At 41.9% G+C, this 18,066-nt stretch overlaps 1 protein-coding gene and 1 long non-coding RNA gene across 2 annotated transcripts in view, besides 3 other annotated features; both read right to left on the bottom strand.

Annotated features, from left to right (window-relative positions):
- Positions 1–18,066, bottom strand: part of ARL8B (ARF like GTPase 8B) — a 58,620-nt gene that overhangs the window by 40,251 nt on the left and 303 nt on the right. The window lies entirely within an intron of this gene.
- Positions 429–518: an enhancer, noted in NCBI's record as "active region_19376". NCBI's record gives its function as "activates an Ori minimal core promoter by ATAC-STARR-seq in GM12878 lymphoblastoid cells {active_cell/tissue: GM12878}" and the evidence as "EXISTENCE:reporter gene assay evidence [ECO:0000049][PMID:35858748]".
- Positions 3,743–4,037: a silencer, noted in NCBI's record as "tiled region #5493; K562 Repressive DNase matched - State 12:CtcfO". NCBI's record gives its function as "represses a minimal TATA promoter and a strong SV40 promoter by Sharpr-MPRA in K562 cells {active_cell/tissue: K562}" and the evidence as "EXISTENCE:reporter gene assay evidence [ECO:0000049][PMID:27701403]".
- LOC124906212 (uncharacterized) lies at positions 11,846–17,602 on the bottom strand. Its single transcript, XR_007095800.1, has 2 exons — positions 16,945–17,602; positions 11,846–12,201 (listed from the first exon to the last, which is right to left on the bottom strand). It is a non-coding gene; the product is annotated as an uncharacterized LOC124906212 (long non-coding RNA).
- Positions 14,623–14,917: a silencer, noted in NCBI's record as "tiled region #5688; HepG2 Repressive non-DNase unmatched - State 23:Low". NCBI's record gives its function as "represses a minimal TATA promoter and a strong SV40 promoter by Sharpr-MPRA in HepG2 cells {active_cell/tissue: HepG2}" and the evidence as "EXISTENCE:reporter gene assay evidence [ECO:0000049][PMID:27701403]".

The raw sequence follows: 18,066 nt of genomic DNA, 5'->3' as shown, positions 1-18,066 counted from the left end.
TGGACTGTACCCCTAGTTCAGTTTTAAGCAATCTGGAGACTGCTCCAACATTCACTAGAGAGTTAAAGACTAACGTGTTGAAATTTTGCCAAAAAAAAAAAACCAAGAAGGTGTATGAGTCTGTTCTCATGCTGCTAATAAAGACATACCCAAGACTGGTAATTTACAAAGGAAAGAGGTTTAATTGACTCACAGTTCCACATGGCTGGGGAGGCCTCACAATCACGGCACAAGATGAAGAAAGAGTAAAGGGGCTTCTTACATGGTGGTGGGCTAGAGAGAAGTGAGAGCCATGCAAAAGGGGTTTCCCCTTACCACAAAACCAACAGATCTTGTGAGACTTATTCACTACCTCAAAAAACAGTATGGGGAAAATCGTCCCCATGATTCAGTTATCTCCCACCGGGTCCCTCCCACAACATGTGGGAATTATGGGAGCTACAATTCAAGATGAGATTTGGGTGAGGACCCAGCAAAACCATACCAGAAGACTTTGTTCCCTAAGAACCAACAGGAGAGCATTATTTTTAAACACTGCCACACACGCTCCCCAAAGTGAGGAACAAAAACTAATCACATCTTGGAGGCAGAGCTTACAGTGAGCAGAGATGGTGCCACTGCACTCCAGCCTGGGCGACACAGCAAGACTCCGTCTCAAAAAAAAAAAAAAAAACAAAACTAATCACATCTTGTGTAGTGAGAAGCTATCCTGACCATTGCTACCCCTGAAAGAACATAACAGAAAGACCTATGAGCCCTGCAAGCCTTGCACTGCATACTGCCCTAATTTCTTTCAGACAGGATACCCTGCAGGAATTGAACTGACTCATTCAGAATTCCCAGGTCCAACATCATCCAGTAACTACTTCTGCTTCCCGTTCAGTTTCATTTCTCTAAGGGAAGTTACATAGGAGTTTTTCTGGGCCATGAAGAAATACAGCTGATGACAAGCACTCTACAATATTCTGGGTCTGCCTCATTCTACTTCCAGGGAAATAAACTCCACTGCTTACTGAAACTGCAGTATCCATCAGTGGCCATTTAGGTCTGCAACTAAACAAATGTCAAAGATGTTACTGAGAAGTTACCCAGAAACACTTGTCTGCAAGGCTCCTAATGACACTCAGATCCATTGTATTAGAATAAAAAAACTTATAAATGTGACCAAGGATTATAGCATATAATGCCAGGTGACAACATCTCCATAACCCCTTATCAGCTCTTTTCTACCTGGAAGATAAATGAAGCCCCTAAAATTCTGTTCCACAGGTACATCATAAGATAAATAGGCAATCCTCCCATTAAAGACTATCTTTAAAGACTGCTAGCCTAGGCATAGTAGAGGCAAGAAAATGTTTACAAATACTATTTTGCCTGTTAGACTCTGGAGGAAGCAAACCATGGCACCTGTCATTGGATACATTAAAGCCAAGATTGTAACTTCTTAGTCCTTTAGTGCCTACTTTTAACATTTTTCTGCCTCACAATTTTGCAACTTCATCTCCCAAACTAATAGTATCATATGGATTGTCTCATGTTCCCTTCTACTGTAAAAAAATTCAGTAACAATTTTTTAAAATATTATTAATAATTCCCTAAAATCATTTTAAACTACAGTGTATGGAATCTTTTAGCTGTCTGCTTATATATCAGTAGAGACATCTGTTTCTCAAGTGATCCTGGCAGTACAGTGGTGTGGCTGCAGAGAATGCCATGGGCTGAATACATTCTTTCACCGGCTCCTCCACACTGCAGCTCTCTCTGGGTATTACTGAAGAAACAGTAAGCACTGTAAAGCCACTCCATTAGTCCAGTCAGTGCTTTCGACATTGTTTCACAGTGAAACTCAACTCTTAAAATGATGGACAGTCATAAAATACTAAGTCACTGTACATTTCTCAGGTTCCAAACTGCAGTGCCTTCTAGATAGTAAAATCATTATTTATTCAGTAGCTGCCTAAAATTCCACTTACTATCATCAGGGTGGGGAGTGTGGCAGGTGCAGTAAGCGCAGTAAGAAGTTGGAGTGACAGGAATGCTTTTCAATCACATGTGATGACTGCATCAACAACACATCCTTATTAGCTAAGCCATATGTAATTGGCTTATACTATTTAAAAATAATAATGATAATAGCTCAGCATTACTCATTTTACTCTGGCCTCGTATTACAGAAAAGAAAACTTGAGGTCAAGGTCACAAGGTCACATACACACAGCTAAATAGTGGCAAAACTGGAATTTGAACCTAAGTTTAAACTTAAAAGCCCTAAAAGTGATTTTCCACTTTAGTGTAATGCCTCAGGCATTTGGCAGTTATTTGTTGGCAAATGAACGAGAGTCATTATTTGTACAAAAGCTTGAAGTCAATGTTAGACTGCTGAACAACAAAATACAAACTCCATGATAAATTGAGAGGTTGTAAATAGATGCTCTGCTAGTCTTCTACTCTGGTGAAAAAAAAAAAAAAACTTAGAGCAATCACCATCTCTTCCACCAAGCCAAAACTATTAACTACAACCAAATTTATCAGCAGAAGAAAAACCCAAATAAACCAGTAAATTTTTCACCAAGTTGCCCCTAACATCCTAGCACATCTAGGATGGGTTATGGCACCGAAAAAAAAAAAAATCCCCAACAACAACAACAAAAACCTCTCATTTTAGTTTCTCTCTCAAAATGACAGAAAACCTTCAAGAATCAGAAACCATTAAAATATAATAATAGTGAGCAAAGAAAGAAGATTTAAAAAGAAGAATCAGAATCAGAAACCAGGCTAGGCACAGTGGCTCGTGCCTGTAATCCTAGCACTTTGGGAGGCTGAGGTGGGAGATTACTTGAGGCCGGGAGTTTGAACCAGCCTGGGCAACACAGTGAGATCCTGTCGCCACAAAAAATAAAAAGTTTTTAAAAATTAAAAAAAGGGCTGGGCATGGTGGCTCACGCCTGTAATCCCAACACTTTGGGAGGCCAAGGCGGGTGGATCATTTGAGATCAGGAGTTGAGACCAGCCTGATCAACATGGTGAAACCCTGTCTCTACTAAAAATACAAAAATTACCCAGGCATGGTGGTGCATGCCTGTAGTCCCAGCTACTTGGGAGGCTGAGGCAGGAGAATTGCTTGAACCCAGGAAGCAGAGGTTTGCAGTGAGCCAAGATCAAACTACTGAACTCCAGCCTGGGTGATAGAGTGAGACTCCATCTCAAAAAAAAAAAAAAAAAAGAGAAAATTAAAAACTGGTCCCTTGTGCCCAGTACACTTCTACTCTGAAACTCAGGAACTTTCATTACCTTCTGAAATTGAATTCCCACTCAGTGCTCACGTGAAAGGTGAGGGGGTTCCACTTCATCTAGCATCTAGTAGAGCACATGATCCTGCCCTAACCCCCGAATATCACATCAACCTACCACCTAAGGAGTACTCATTCTATGCCAGTCACTGTGCCAACTGTCTTACCTCACCATGAGCTCATGGGGCAAGTATTCTCATGCCCAAATCCCCAATGAGGAAACTGAAGCTTTGAGGAGGTCACAGAATTCTGGCATATCCAGAATTTAAATTTAGGCCTGCCTGATCCCACATACTTAAACATTACCCTATACTGTTTTACTCTATTTAAGTCAACAATTACAGAGCAGTAGGCACACTGCTTCATTTAAAGGCCATAAATATTGAAAGGTTGTTGTCTGAAGGTAGAGACCAATGAACAGATAATTTGCACAGATAAATATAATTTTGATCAAGTGCTGTGAGGAGACGAGTTAGGGCAAAGTTTTACAGACCTGGGACCTGAACGATGAGTAAGACAGTGCCATCTAGGGGGAAAGGAGTACCAGCGGACAAAAACAAGCATCACAGGCAAAGAAAATCAATTGGTATCTTGGGCGTCTCAGTCTCTCCATCATTACCACAATCTAACATTTACTTCAAAGGCCTACTTCCTCTATCCTTCTGCCCACAGCCATTCTGCTGTAATTTCACTAGCTAATTTAAATCCCCTTTCCAAATCCTGCCAGAATAAATACTAAAATTTGTAAGTGTTCCTAGGAAAGATAACATAGGGTAGTACTAACAGCTAGTAGAGTAGACTTAAAACACTTGGCACAAAGAGCCAAAGAAAGCAAAAAATGCACATGGAACACTATAAAGTCATGCCCAGCTTCCAAACTAATTTCAGTGACAGGAGGCGGAAGAATTAGATTTATCAGGAGTCAAAGCAAGACCCTAAAGGATGTGTAAAAATGGAACCCAGATTCCTCATAACTCATCTATTTTATGGAACAGTACACTTCAGACTGAATTGGAATTGAATTTCAGACCCAAATGACAATTAACTGTGTCACTTAATCTTTGTTTATCTTACATAAATCAGTAAATGTCTACTTAAAGCAAGAGGGCCAAAAGAATAATATAATGCCTTACGTGAAAACATTTTATAAAATAATCAAGTTCACTTGAACCCAGGAGGCAGAGGCTGCGGTGAGCCAAGATCACGCCACTACACTCCAGCCTGCAACAGAACAAGACCCCATCTCAAAAATATACATAATAATAAAAATAATAATAATAATAGGCCAGGCGTGATGGCTCACGCCTATAATCCCAGCACTTTGGGAGGCCGAGGCGGGTGGACTGCCTGAGCTCAGGAGTTCGACATCAGCCTGGGCAACATGGTGAAACCCCGTCTCTACTAAAATACAAAAAAATTAGCCACGCGGGGCAGCATGTGCCTGTAATCCCAGCTACTCGAGAGGCTGAGACAGGAGAATCGCGTGAACCTGGGAGGTGGAGGTTGCAGTGAGCCAACATCGCGCCACTGCACTCCAGCCTGGGCGACAGAGTGAGACCCTGTCTCAAAATAATAATAATAATAATAATAATAATAATAATAATAATAATAATAGGCCAGGTGCGGTGGCTCACGCCTGTAATCCTAGCACTTTAGGAGGCCGAGGCAGGCAGATCACAACGTCAGGAGTTTGAGACCAGCCTGGACAATATGGTGAAACTCCGTCTCTACCAAAAATACAAAAAGTAGCTGAGCATGGTGGCGTGCACCTGTAATCTCAGCTACTTGGGAGGCTGAGGCAGGAGAATCGTTTGAACCTGGGAGGTGGAGGTTGCAGTAAGCCGAGATGGCACCACTGCACTCCAGCCTGGGCGACAGAGCGAGAATCCATCTCAAAAAAATAATAATAATAGTAATAATTAAGTGAGCCAGGAACAATGGCTCACACCTGCAATCTCAGCACTTAGGGAGGCTGAGGCAGAGAATTATTTGAACCCAGAAGGCAGAGGTTGCAGTGAGCCAAGACTGCACTCCAGTCTGGGCAACAGAATGAGACTGTCTCAAAAAAAAATAAATAAATAAAAAGATCAGATGTGTTTCATTAATTAAATGAAATAATTTTTACTGAACGTTCTTTGTATTGGAAATGGGAGGAAAGGATGATTACATAAAATAGGATGTCTAGGAACTATATGTTAACTAGCCTAAAGAATAACATAGTAGGCCAGGCGCAGTGGCTCATGGCTGTAATCCCAACACTTTGGGAGGCTGAGGTGGGCAGATCAGCTGAGGTCAAGAGTTTGAAACCAGCCTGGCCAACATGGCGAAACCCTGTGTCTACCAAAAACACAAAGATTAGCCAAGCGTGGTGGTGTGTGCCGGCAGTCCCAGCTACTCTGGGAGGTGAAGGCACAAGAATCGCATGAACCTGGGAGGCGGAGGTTGCAGTGAGCTGAGATCATGCCACTGTACTCCAGCCTGGGAGACAGAGCGAGACTCCATCTCAACAAAAAGAATGACATAGTGAAGGTGGAACAGCCATTTCCTAACTTGTTTTATGGTAATGTCCGCATGTTCCAAAATGAACTGCTATCTGTGAGCACTATAAATCCATTATTAGACTGCTCTAAATGAGTCTCTAAGCAGATATCAAAGAACCTAACTGGGCTATGAGGACCAAGGATCACACTTTGTCTTTTCAACCACACAGTAAAATGATCAGTAATGTAATCTGAGTAGAAGAAAAATGATACTCTAACACTATCTACGTGTTTACCTGGCACCAAAGAAAAATCCCAACTTAAATGTCAAGAAATCAAATATCCTTTAGATTTAAAGCACACAAATCACACCTAGAAAATTTTCTCTTCAGTAGAAAGTCACTATACAAACCTAAGCCAGGCACTTTCCAGAAACAGAAAAATTACTCTTCGAATTCGACAGCAAAGGCTTCCCAGCCTGCAAACGAATCTGACCCACTCTGAATATACAGCCTTCATCCCAGCTATTAAAGACCTCTTCTGGGCAGACTGCATTCTGGCCACAGATTCATGTACATAAATACACAAATAAATCAAGATAGCCCAACAGCAATCCTGAGGAGTGGAGAACATTCTGCCTAGTCCTTGTGTCCGAAACATTGGCAAAACGAGTCATCAGCAGGGTACGGTAAGTGACAGCAATCAGTAGAAATAAAAGATCCTACAACCCACTCTTTTGAAGAGAAACTAGGAATGGATCTCAACTACTTCCTGTATCTCTTATACTCCTGAAGACAAAATTAGGAATTGGATGAAATGTTAATTCTCAGTTTTTGTGCCACTGAACTTAAATATAGCATTCATAGCCTGTCATTTCCAACCAGCCATCCCTTTATATCATTAATTATGTAACACTTTTTTTTCCAGGGGTGTGGGGTGTGCTGTGCAGTGCAGGGGAGACCTGGTCTCACTCTGTCGCCCAGGCTGGAATGCAGTGGCACCATCATGGCTCACTGCAGCCTCCTGGACTCAAGCCATCCCCTTACCACCTATGCCTCCCCGGCAGCTAGGACCACAGACACGCAGCAGCACATCCAGCTAATTTTTTTTATTTTTTTATTTTTTGTAGAGACCAGAGTTTCACTATGTTGCCTAAGCTGGCCTTGAACTCCTGAGCTCAAAGGATCCACACCCTTCTCAGCCTCCCAAAGTGCTGGGGTTACTGGCATGAGCCACCACGCCCCAGCCTGTAATACAATTTATACTCAAATCATCCCTTTTTCTTCTAAACCCATTCTTTCTTCCCCACCCTGTAACTGCTGTTTGCTGATGGTACAACCATATTCCCCACCATTCAATCAAATCTTTAAAAGGGTCTTTGCAAATTCCCCTTTGTCCTGTACCTCTGACTTAATTGCTAAATTGTACTCATCCTATTTCCATAATAATGCGTACCTTTCCCCTCCTCCCCAACTGTCTCCCTCAATGTCTCTCAACCAGACCTCTGTAATAACCTTGTAACCAATTTCCTTGCGGATGGTCTCTATATTGCTGCTAAATTAATCCTTCGGAAACACAGGTCTTATCTTATTCCTCTGAATTAAAACCTTCAGTGGCCCTCCATGCCTAATGTCACACTCAGTCAAGGCCCTGTGGGAGCTGACTGATCTACTTTTCCAGCCTTTGTTTCTTTTTCCTTCACTAAGGTTATGCCTAAACCAACAAAAAAATTTCTTTCCCTCAGCTGTGCCTTTGCTTTTCCCACTGTTCCTGCTTGAATATCTTTTTTCCCCACATGATATCGGCAGTTCCACAAGGGCAAGAACATTGTCTGCTTTGCTCCCCATTATATTTATGCTGCCCAAAACACTGCTTGACATATTTGTTGAATAAATGAAATTCCTCTACTCTTATAACCCAGCTCAAAAGCCATTCCTGCCACTGTCCAACCAAAACTCAGCAAACAGCCTTACTAAATAAAACTCCTCCAATGTCTTAATGGGGTGGGTCAGGGGAGAATTCCAATAGCATTTTGTATCTTAAGGCACTTAATATTCCTCTCCTATACATGGCACATACCCGACCATAAATGACCTTGTCTGGTACATTTATAAGTTATCTATCACAATGCCTTGCACCTAGTTTAAACATGCATGGAGTAGGTATACTTTGCTGTTATTATTCATTCATTCATTCATTCAGTATTTAAAGAGCTTGTCATGTGGCAGGGACTGTTCTTAGCAATGGGGTACAGCATTGTAAAATATGATAAAGTCTTGGCTCTGTGAAAAGGGACAGACTATTAGAAACAAGAGAACAAGATAATTTCTGATGGTTAAAAATAATGAGAGGAGCCGGGCGCAGTGGCTCACGCCTGTAATCCCAGCACTTTGGGAGGCCGAAGCAGGTGGATCACCTAAGGTGAGGAGTTCAAGGCCAGCCTGGCCAACATAGTGAAACCCTATCTCTACTAAAAATACAAAAAAATTAGCAGGGCATGGTGGGGAGAGCCTGAGGCTGAGGCAGGAGAATCACTTGAACCAGGGAGGCGGAGGTTGTAGTGAGCCGAGATCGCGCCACTGCACTCCAGCCTGGGAGACAGAGTGAGACTCTGCCTCAAAAAAAAAAATAATAATGATGATCATAGGGAATATGATCAATCCTAACTTAGGGCAATACCTACTACAGAAAGGATGGGAGGACTTAGGCACAGTACAGGCTCATGCCTGTACTCCCAACACTGGGAGGCCAAGGAAGGAGGACAGCTTGAGCCCAGTAGTTCAAGATCAGCCTGAGCAATACAGCAAGATTCCACCTCTACAAAAAAACAAATTTTTTTAATTAGCTGGGCATGACGGCACATGCCTGTAGCCCCAGCTACTCAGGAAGCTGAGGCAGAGGACTGCTTGAACCCAAGAGGTTGAGGCAGCAGTGAGCCATGATTATGCCACTTTACTCCAGTTTGGGTGACAGGGTGAGACCCTGTCTCAAAAAAAGGAAAGAATGACAGAAAAATTCAAAGGATAAAACTAGTCAAATCATTTCATTTCTGAAATTACCGGAACTCTGAAAAAAAGACAAAAACCAAAGTTAAACATTTCAGTCACTTAAGAGTAGAAAATAATGGCAGTAACCAAAATATTCATATAAGGGTTAATGAAAACCTGTAACGTCAATTTAATATTTTTAAGAAACGGGTAGGCTGGGTGCAGTGGCTCACACCTGTAATCCCAGCACTTTGGGAGGCCGAGGTGGGTGGATCACTTGAGGTCAGGAGTTCAAGACCAGTGTGGCCAACATCGTGAAACCCTGTCTCTACTAAAAATACAAAAATTATCTGGCCATGGTGGCGTGCGCCTGTAACCCTAGCTACTCAGGAGGCTGAGGCAGGAGAATCGCTTGAACTCGGGAGGCGGAGGTTGCAGTGAGCCGAGATCGCGCCACTGCACTCCAGCCTGGGTGACAGAGTGAGACTCTGTCTCAAAAAAAAAAAAAATTTTTTAATTTTTTTATTGAAATAAGATTGCCAAAAGCTAGAAACGAAATAGCTAAATTATGAAGGAGAGAAATGTAGGTTTCCTTTCTTTTCCTAGATTTTCCTCTGATAAGAACTATTTACAAATGATGAAGTCCATGTATTGGCATTAAAACATTCTCCGGACAAAATGAGCTTTCAAGAAAATGGTGGCCGGGCACGGTGGCTCACACCTGTAATCCCAGTACTTTGGGAGGCTAAGGCGGACAGATCACAGGAGTTTGACACCAGCCTGGCCCACATGGTGAAACCTCGTCTCTACTAAAAATACAAAAATTAGCTGGGCGTGGTGGCGGGTGCCTGTAGTCCTAGCTATTCGGGAGGCTGAGGCAGGAGAATCACTTGAATCCCCGTGCCACTGCACTCCCAGCATGGATGACAGAGTGAGACTCCATCTCAAAAACAAAAAAAGAAAAAGAAAAAAAAGAAAAGAGCGAAGAAAAGGCAGGCCTAACTATGTGTGTAGCCTAGATTTTAAGCAACCTCATTCTTAACATTATGCTACATTTTGCATACTGAAGTAAGAATATAGGTTCATAGGCTGGGCGTGGTGGCTCATGCCTGGGCCGAGGCGGGCGGATCACTTGACGTCAGAAGTTCAAGACTCGCCTGGCCAACGTAGCGAAACCCCATCTCTACTAAAAATACAAAAAATAGCCAGGCGTAGTGGCGCAAGCCTGTAATCCCAGCTACTGGGGAGAGGCTGAGGCAGGAGAATCATCTGAACCCAGGAGGCAGAGGTTACAGTCAACCGAGATCATGCCACTGCCCTTCAGCCTGGACAACAAAGCAAGATTCCATCCCCCCGCCAAAAAAAAAAACACACACACACACAAGCAAGCAAGCAGCATCCCACTATAATAGGTCCAAGATTAGGTAAGGATTATACTGAAATATATCAGGGTTATGGAATATGCAATCTACCAATACTTCTAAAACAAAATAGCAGCATGATAAGTAAAGGGGATGAGCTGTATTTATATTTACATGGCTTGCCTGGGAAGCTCAACAAAAAAGAACTATGTTCTCAGGGGCAGGCGTGGTGGCTCCTGCCTGTAATCTCAGCACTTTGGGAGGCTGAGGCAGGAGAATCTCTTGAGCCCAGGAGTTCCGGGACCAGGCTGAGCAACACAGTGAGATGAAGTCTCTACAAAAAAAAAATATATATTTTTTTTTAAGAGAATATGACCTTGGTCAGGTGCAGTGGCTCACGCCTGTAATCCCAGTACTTTGGGAGGCCAAGGCAGGCAGATCACCTGAGGTCAGGAGTTCGAGGTCAGCCTTGCCAACATGGTGAAACCCTGTCTCTACTAAAAATACAAAAACTAGCTGTGTGTGGTGGCACGTGCCTGTAGTCCCACCTACTTGGGAGGCTGAGGCAGGAGAATCACTTGAACCCAGGAGGCAGAGGTTGCAGTGAGCCAAGATCATGCCACTATACTACAGCCTGGGTGATAGAGCAAGACTCTGTCTGAAAAACAAAAAAGAGAGAGAGAGAATGTGGAGAATGTGGCCTCACTATGTTGCCCAGGCTGGTCTTCAACTCCTGGCTTCAAGTAATCCTCCTGTCTCTGCCTCCCTAAATGCTGAGATTACAAGCGTGAGCCACCACACCCAGCAGCAAAAATCTTGTTTAAAAAAATTAGCCAGGCGTAGTGACATACGCCTGTGGTCCCTACTACTTGGGAGGCTATGGTGGGGGGATCTCTTGAGCCAGGGCCCAGGAGGTGGAGGCTGCAATAAGCCATGATCATGCCACTACACTCCAGCATGGGCAACAGAGCAAGAACTTGTCTCAGAAAGAATTATGTTCTCTATAGTTATCAGTCTTGGCAGTTGCTGAAATATAAAAAGGAACTTCTTAAAATATATTAAACACAAACAGAGCAGTATCTAATAGGATAATTTTAAAATACCGTTCTACTTCATCAACAAAACTATGTTTGTCCTAAAAAATACCAGAGGACAAAGTGCTTAACCAAAGTCCAACTTTATATATGAAATCTGCTCAGTATTAGCTGGGCGAGGTGGCAAACACCTGTAATCCCAGCTACTTGGGAAGCTGAGGCAGGAGAATTGCTTGAACCCGAGAGGTGGAGGTTGCAGTGTGCCAAGATCACACCACTGCACTCCAGCCTGGGCAACAAGAGCGAGACTCTATCTGGAAAAACAAAAAACAAAAAACAAAAACTGTTCAGACCTTCTCAGTGGGAGTGTACACTTTCTGGAAAGCAATTTGGCCATATGACATAAAATGCGTTTTTGACCCAGAAATACCAACTCTGGAACACATCCTCAGGAAGTGCAGATCAAATTGAGTACAATAGGAAAACATAGGAAAAATCCCTCAAATGTCCAATAAGGGAATTACCAAATATGTTATGGCATATCCACAAGACATACCACAATGGAATAAACTATGAAGACATGAAAAATGTTTTAGATAGAAAAATGCATACACTGTAACAATTAAACCAGAATATAAAGCATTATAAGTAATATTATCTCAGAACTTTTTAAAAGACATCTGGATATACACATTAAGAAGACAAAAACGAAATGCTTTTAATGTTGACAGTAGTTAATCTTGGATGGTAGAAATAAGTGGCTTCTTCTACCTTATACTATTCTTTTCACATCTCCGCTAATGAGCCTGTATTGTTTTGATAACACAAAAAAAATTTCAGAAAAAAAATTTTTTAATAATATTTGAGTAACTTTTTTATAGGTTCAATGTATTTTGTATCCATGTTCAGTAACCATCCACTTACTATATCTTTGAAAAACTTAAAAAATCCATTAACTTGTGAAATATCTTCTAAGACAGGCATTTAGAATGCATTATTGCACTCTAACAGCTTCTTAATGAGAACATTTGGCTTTCAAGATTCTTGGTCTGCAAGGAAAAACAAATAATTGGAGCGGGGATGAAGGGTAGAAAACTTTATGGAAGGTAGAGATGTTCCTTTGTAAGATGCCTCATTTTCCACAACTCAGAATCTATACTTGAAGACCACCTTATTGGAAGACTAGCTTCTCCAGTCAAGTTTCAGATGTGTAAAACATCTAGACTTGAACCACAGCCCATTTTCTTTAAAAATGGTTTTTGCCATTCTTACCTCCAAAGAAATTAAATAATAAGCAATACAATCAAATACAAAATTATTTCTGCTTTTTTTTTTTTTTTTTTTTTGAGACGGATTTTCACTCTGTTGCCCAGGCTGGAGTGCAGTCGCTCAATTTCGGCTCAACGCAACCTCCGCCTCCCAGGTTCAAGCAATTCTCCTGCCTCAGCCTCCTGAGTAACGCCAGGCTAATTTTTGTATTTTTAGTACAGATGGGGTTTCATCATGTTGGTCAGGCTGGTCTCAAACTCCTGACCTCATGATCCGGCCGCCTTGGCCTCCCAAAGTGCTGGGATTACAGGCGTAAGCCATTGCGCCTGGCCCTCCGCTTTTTTTTTTTTTTTTTTTTTTTTTTTTTGAGACGGAGTCTCGCTCTGTTGCCCAGGCTGGAGTGCAGTGGCGCAATCTTGGCTCACTGCAAGCTCTGCCTCCAAGGTTCACGCCATTCTCCTACCTCAGCCTCCCGAGTAGCTGGGACTACAGGTGCCCACCACCACACCCAGCTAATTATTTGTATTTTTAGTAGAGACGGGGTTTCACCGCATTAGCCAGGATGGTCTTGATCTCCCTCTGCTTTTTAAAGATACTAAAAGTAGTTCAACAACTCAGTAATGCCTGTTAGCCAGTTATTTAAATATCCAAACATAATATTCCACTCTTACTTTCCACAGATTATCATTCCTTCTCCTAATTCATGTTCATAGATAAATATATAGTCCTCAAATGTTAGTCAGTATGCTTAAGATGCCTGGATTTAAAATGCTCTCTCTAGAGAGACACACAGTACTCATTACGTCTGTATTTCTTATTCTATAAAGCAAACATTTCATATACGATACAAAAACTGCAGCTGATTTTTTAAATTAAATTAAATACAAAAAAGATGTTTAATGGATTAAGATCTCCCAATCCACAGTTCTATGGTTCTAACCTCAGCTGGATCTAAAGAGGTGGGAAAAGTAGAAAGTACACTGGCCCCAGATTCTAATTCTATCTCTGCTACGAATTAGCTTTGTTGCCTTGGAATTCCACTTAACCTCACTGGATCTGCTAGCCACATCTAAAAAATGAGGGGAAAATTAGACTACTTAATCAAGGTTTCTACAAACTCTTTAAAAAATGATTCTAGGTTCATATTTCTACAGTCTTCCCAAATATCTTCTTTTCCTAATTCTCAGCAGTAATAAACTTTCCCTTGGATTAACCTTTCAGGTATCAACAATGTGCAAAAGTGTAGACAAATTTTTATACTTCCATTTAAAAAATACATAATGTCCATAAGATTTATCCTATATTATTTTGGCAAATCCTATTAGATATTTTTTAATAACTATAACATATCTAAAAGCCCCAGTTAAAAATAAAGATTACTCAATATACATTACACATATAGGCACATGACTTATTGTGCAATAACTGCCAGAACAGTTAGCAATGGAAAAAATACTTCATTCCTTGACACTAATCAGAAAAGACAAGACTAGGGTGTTTCTTTTTTATAATGTTCAAAACAAAAGAGAACACTACATATATCAAGTGTCTCTACATAAAACTGGATTAAATTAGGTATCATTTCAGTTTTAAAATCCTAAGGAAAGGCATTCTAAGTCTGAGCATTCTGTAACTAAGCTGCATTATCTTTTAGACTCAAACCAAACCCTACATATAATAGTAATTCAGTCTCATGAACCTTTTGAGTAAGTTAAATGACATCTATTAAATCTTCCTTAATGTTTAAGGCACATGTAGTGACATTTTAATGTTTACAAAATGTTGATTTTTACAAAAAGAAAATTGGCTTCAGCTGAAGCTTTTCATACCTGAGAAGTCGCTTCTTAAATGTGAATAAGTAAATGGTCACCTTTCTAGAGTGACACATAGTACTCAATACATCTGTATTTCTGATTCTATAAAGCAACTATTTTATATACAATACAAAAAGTGCAGCTGATTTTTTAAAAGGCTAAACTTACTATTTTGGACACATTGTTTCTACCTAAAAATCTCTAAAATCATCTTTAATCACTAACTTGGATTTTAATCACTACATCCTCAACATATTCTATAAGAATCAGGGGTTAGGTTAGAGCCTTGAGGTTAAAAAAAAAAAAAAGTATGAAATTCACTGAGGGGGTCCCTTTCAGCATCTTAAAAGCCACAGCCAATTACAGCCCAGATGTCTTTTTTCTTTTTTAAATTAATATTACTTTTAATTGACAAATCATAATTGTATACATTTATGGAGTACAATGAGATGTTCTGATACATGTTTACAGTGTGGAATGACTAATTCAAGCCAATTACACATCCATCACCTTATCTTTGTGACTTTTTTTTTCTTAACTGAAGCTACCCACACCATTACAATTTTAAAAAGAATAGTCTAATGATAACAGTGGGCTGGGCACAGTGGCTCACGCCTGTAATCCCAGCATTTTGGGAGACCAAGGCAGGCATATTACTTGAGACCAGGAGTTCGAGAACAGCCTGCCCAACATGGTGAAACCCCGTCTCTACTAAAAATACAAAAATTAGCTGGGCATGGTGGCAGTCGCCTGTAGTCCCAGCTACTCGGGAGGCTGAGGCACGAGAATAGCTTGAACCCAGGAGGCAGAGGTTGCAGTGAGCCAAGATCATGCCACTGCACTCCAGCCTGGGCAACACAGCGGGACTCCGTCTCAAAAAAAAAAAAAAGATAATGGTGGAGCCACTGGTTCACTTTGACTTCAACAGCTTTGCAGAAGTTTTGTTGTTGTTAAATATAATAATCTAATGGTGGGGGCGGGGCAGGGGGGAACACATGATGCGATTACTTTCCCCAATCCATAAATCCACTACTGCAGCCCACATCTGGATAGATACAGTGATTCAAAGTAGAAAATGATACCAGTTGAGTCCCTTCTCAGTATTTTTCAAGCCATCGTTCCTGCATTAAACAGGTACGCCCAATTACAAATAACAACAGTTACCATCTACCTATCCCCTTCTGTGGGCCAGTATGAGTGCTAGCCACTTAACATCTTTCATGTCATTTAATCCCTAGAGCAACTCTGTAAGAAACATATCATTACCTCCATTTAATAGATGGGAAAGTAAGGACTCAAAGAGGATGTAAGGCTGCTAAGCGGCAGAGCCAGATTTCAAATCCAGGGCTGTCTGACTTCAAAGGTCATGCTCATTAAGCTACACTGTCTACTGAAAACAGAAGCATAAAAATCACCAAGAAGTTTCTCAAAGATTTGCTCAACTTTTTAGAGTTCCCAAGCATAACAACTCAACTGCAACAAATACAACTGGCTGTATTAATACACCTATCCACATGAAACATTAATTCCATGTTGTCAAAGAGCAAGTTTTACAAGATGACTCCAATTCTCATCTCAAGGGGATATGAGAAAATTTACAGTTAACTGAGCTCAACTTCACTCAAGCTTATGCCTCATCTTTTCCATATTATATAAAAGCTCTAGCAGGCTTATAATCCCAGTATGCTGGGAGGCCAAGGCAGGAAGACTGCTTGAGGCCAGGAGCTCAAGACCAGCCCTGGCAACATAGCAAGAGCCCGTCTTTATAAAAAATAAAAATTAAAAATAAATAGCGAGCCATGGTGGTAGCACATGCCTGTAGTCCCAGCTACTTGGGAGGCTGAGACAGGGAAGATCACATAAGCCCAGGAGTTGGAGGCTGCAGTGAGCTACGACTGCACCACTGCACTCCAGTCTGGGTGAAAGCTCAAGACCCTGTCTCCAAAAAAGAAAAGAAAAAAATTCTAATATAAATATGTAACCCGAAGTTCATGTTTCCTCATTAATTTTAGTGGTATTAGGCCAGGAACGGTGGCTCATGCCTGTAATGCCAGCACTTTGGGAGGCCGAGGCAGGAGGCTCGCTTGAGCCCAGGAGTTCAAGGCTGGCCTGGCAACATAGGAAGATCTTGTCTCTACCAGAAAAAAAAAAAAAAAAAAAAAAAAAAAATTAGTGGTATTAGATACACATTCCACTCTTCTATTCCTGCGGAAAGATAGTCATTCCAAGCGCAAAAAATCATAATATTACAATAGGAGGCCAGGCGCGGTGGCTCACACCTGCAATCCCAGCATTTTAAGAGGCCGAGTCGGGCGGATCACATGAGGTCAGGAGTTTTGAGACTAGCCTGAGCAACAAAGCAAAACCCATCTCTACTAAAAGTAATTAGCCGGGCGTGGTGGAGGACGTCTGTAATCCCAGCTACGCAGGAGGTGGAGGCAGGAAAATCGCTTGAACCTGGGAGGTGGAGGTTGCAGTGAGCTGAGATCTCGCCACTGCACTCCAGCCTGGGGGACAAAGCGAGACTCCGTCTCAAGAAAAAAAATTAATAATAATACTACTAGAAAAGGAGCCGAACAACAAGCAGGTAAATCTTCCTTATATACATCATTCTTCAAAGGACTTTGGGGTTTCTGCTAATCTCTTTTTCTCCAAGACTTACTCATTCCTGTTGCTTTATTAGTGCAAGGACTAAGAATCACAAGTTACCTATTTTCTCAAACATGAAAGCTGTGTTTGAATCATCTTGTGTAACCTAACCAGTCGGACAGCTAATCTTCAGGATTTCAACAGTCATCGAAAAGGTGGAAGAACTGCTGCCATCTCTCTTCAGAACAGTTCTAAAACTCCCCTGGCGTGTACAAGCCACTACCAGCTAAAACTGAGTCACAACAACTCTTGGGCTCTAAATAAAGATCGAGGCGAAATCTTTCACTCCTATTTATTTCCCAACCAACCAAACAAGCAAAACGAAACAATCACCTTTCTACTCAATCATTGCTGAACAAACACCACATTCTATGTAAGTCCTCAGTGCAATTTTCCTTCCACCCATTCCCTAGGCCTGCTAAGCTATGTTCCTGCCCAGTACCTTCTTTTCTCTTCAAGTGAAAAACACCATTTAAAGACCAACTCCTCTTTCGCAGGGTAGTTAACTTTATGCTAACTGCAGATCCATCTTATCTAGTCGCTTAAGACAATTAACTCTTAGCTTAATAAATACTATGTATTGTGGGCTAGCTGGAGCTCAGCAATGAGCTTGGTCTCCGCGCCTGGGGGACGGGTGAAAACAAGTAACTGAATTAGATGGGACCAGCGGCCCACAGAATTCAGGAAGGCGCTCACACTGGTCTCCCGCTTTCACAATGGGTCTATTGGTCCAAAGTGGCAACTTAAGAGAGGCTCTTAATGCTTACGCTTTCTCGTACGGCTGACGGATTTGCCAAATCCCACCCTTTGGGAAAGTGACAGACTGGACTTAACTCTTTGGCTGCCCCTACTGGGCAAACCCAAGGGAAACCCCAATCCCCAAGCGCTTTAAAAATGTGACGAGTTCAATTTAACTCTTTCCGAGCCCCCGCGGCGTTGAGGACACAGCCCTTGGAAAATGTCTACACTGACTTAACCCTTCCGCTGCCGATCTCAGTGCTACTCCCCGCGCCGCCAACACGCGGGAAATTCCAAATGCTGGCCCTCGGGAGATGACAGGCCCAGCTTCGCACGCCCCCCGCCATCAGTCCCATCGCGCCGAGGGGGGCCCCAACTCAGGCCTTGGAGAAGCGCCGGGCCGGACTCCTGGCTGCGGAGCCCCGGGCGAGTGAGTGGGCGGGC

The sequence above is a fragment of the Homo sapiens genome, chromosome 3, assembly GCF_000001405.40.
Source record: "Homo sapiens chromosome 3, GRCh38.p14 Primary Assembly".
NCBI lineage: Eukaryota > Metazoa > Chordata > Mammalia > Primates > Hominidae > Homo > Homo sapiens.
The sequence above is the reverse complement of the archived record's forward strand: the minus strand, read 5'-3'. Positions and strand labels throughout refer to the sequence as shown.